The sequence below is a fragment of the Homo sapiens genome, chromosome X (assembly GCF_000001405.40).
Source record: "Homo sapiens chromosome X, GRCh38.p14 Primary Assembly".
Classification (NCBI taxonomy): domain Eukaryota; kingdom Metazoa; phylum Chordata; class Mammalia; order Primates; family Hominidae; genus Homo; species Homo sapiens.
Window position 1 is genome coordinate 24,371,070 of NC_000023.11, and position 2,034 is coordinate 24,373,103.

The 2,034-nt window shown below is 49.8% G+C and overlaps 1 annotated feature.

Annotated features, from left to right (window-relative positions):
• Positions 437-1,212: an enhancer, noted in NCBI's record as "OCT4-NANOG-H3K4me1 hESC enhancer chrX:24389623-24390398 (GRCh37/hg19 assembly coordinates)". NCBI's record gives its function as "activates a minimal SCP1, AML or CMV promoter by ChIP-STARR-seq in primed H9 embryonic stem cells {active_cell/tissue: H9 hESC(primed)}" and the evidence as "EXISTENCE:reporter gene assay evidence [ECO:0000049][PMID:30033119]".

Here is a 2,034-nt window from a genome sequence, read left to right on the forward strand (position 1 = left end):
TTTTCCCAACCACTGCTTTCAACCATGCAGCACCAAGTCCCTTTTCCCATCCTTTAATGACACCTTGGGTGGACCTCATGACTTGCTGGGCTCTCTTGTTTGGTAAAGCTGACAGTCCCAATTACAATTTCAATATCGTATTCTCTGGTCTGGTGGGTGGGGGAGGACGAGAGAAGGGAGAGAGAAATCTTCCTGCGAAAATGGTCCTTTTGCAGGTGTGATGCTCTGATTTGCTGAGTGAGGTGAAGGGTCTCTGAGCACGGGGCTGGTTCTTTTTTCTGCGGCGACGGTGTTGAACTTCACTTGGATTCTGACTCCTCTGGGGCCTCTTGAAGAGCGGCTCTCTTAGTAAGCCCTGCTGTGCTCCTTCCTGTGGAGCCTTTCCAAATTCAGAAGCTGTGGGCTCACGGGATCAAGGTGGAAGTGATGCTCCCATTTGCTTTCCGGGCACACCGCCCCTCAGTACCTTTTGAACCGCTCACGTTCAGATGTCTCTAGACCACAAGGGGGCACCAGACTCCAGGTTCACATACAACACATCCCTCAAAGAATATGCGTCAAGCTCGCCCACAGTTTCCAAGGCTCCAGGGTGGTCCAGTGTGGGCCTGCGGGTCTGTGCAGCTCCACACGAGCCCAGGCAGTAAAACTGGATGCCAACTTTGCCTTCATGCAGACCTCCGACTCTCCAGGAGCGACCCTCTTAGAGGTCTCCCTTCTACATACAACTCTTGGCTTGGGAGAGCAGGGGAGTCCCAGCACTCCTTTCCTCACCCCTTCCTACTCTGTCCCAAGAAAAGAAAAGCTCCCCCCTCCACCCCAGGAACACTCAACTTCTCTCCCTCCCCTTCCCATCCTCCCGTAGCTACAGAGGCTGGAAAAGAGTGGTTGAAGGGAACGGTCAGAGTCCAAATAGGGCCAGTTCTGCCATCTCTTAGTACTCTCTGAGAACGTGTCTGCTGGCTGGTTGCAGCCCCTCGTTAGGATGTGGGAGCACCTGATGCTTTTTGTTTCCACCTTTGGCAACTCTGGGACAACAGGAAAAGTCCTATCATGCGTGAGCGCCACACACACACGCGCGCGCGCGCGCACACACACACACGCACGCACATACACAAGCACACACACGCACGTGCACACAAGCACGCACACACGCACGCGCGAACACACGCACGAGCACACACACACACAGTGCTTCCCAGCCTTCTCCCATCCTTGCCTATTTAAGATCTCTGGCTTTGCCCTCCCAATTTCCAATGGGAAAGAGCAGAAGGAAAAGCGATGAGGCCTATGGCTGGTGAGACAGGTTTTGGAAGGACTGTTTTGGGTGAGTCTGATAAACTCTAACGAGTTTATTGTAAGACTTGAGAAAGTCAGTGTGAAGCGGGAGGCAGCTTGAGAAACTTTAGCTCTCTACGCCTGTCTTCGCTATGGAGCGCATTCTTTGATATGGAAAAGTGATGCTTCTAAGAACTGTGTAAAGTGTTATGCAAATAGAGCTTCAAAACAAATCCCCTAATGCCCTGCCTTCTTCTAAGCAGGATTACTCTTGGGCTCTAAGCGGCTCCTCTACAGAAATGTTAAACTTCCACTGGAAGTAAGAAGGGGAAGGGGAACGGGGTGATTTTTAACAAGTGATATTTGGAGCTATGCATCTTTTTCATACTCCCTGAGAAGCCAGTTATTTTGAAATGATTGTTTGGCAGTGTTTGGAGAGTGGGAGGTTTGAAGTTGAGATTATGGAGGCTCTTATGGTTATTGATAATGATGAGTTCTACTGTAAAACCATGGTAGTGTGGTTGCCTGTGGTTGATGTCTTAACAGGATCTTTGCAGGAGAGGAGGTCAAGGAGTTGAAGGCCCAGGCTACTGGAAGGATTATCTATGTGGATACCAAAATCATCAAGAATTCATACTGCTGGCATAGTGTTGAAGAGGATGATAATGAGTCAGGCCCTAGAATCTTCAAGGTATGGTGGGGAAGAAGAGGGGTTTGGTTTTAGAGGTCAATTACATCAAGATGACCCTTAATATTGAT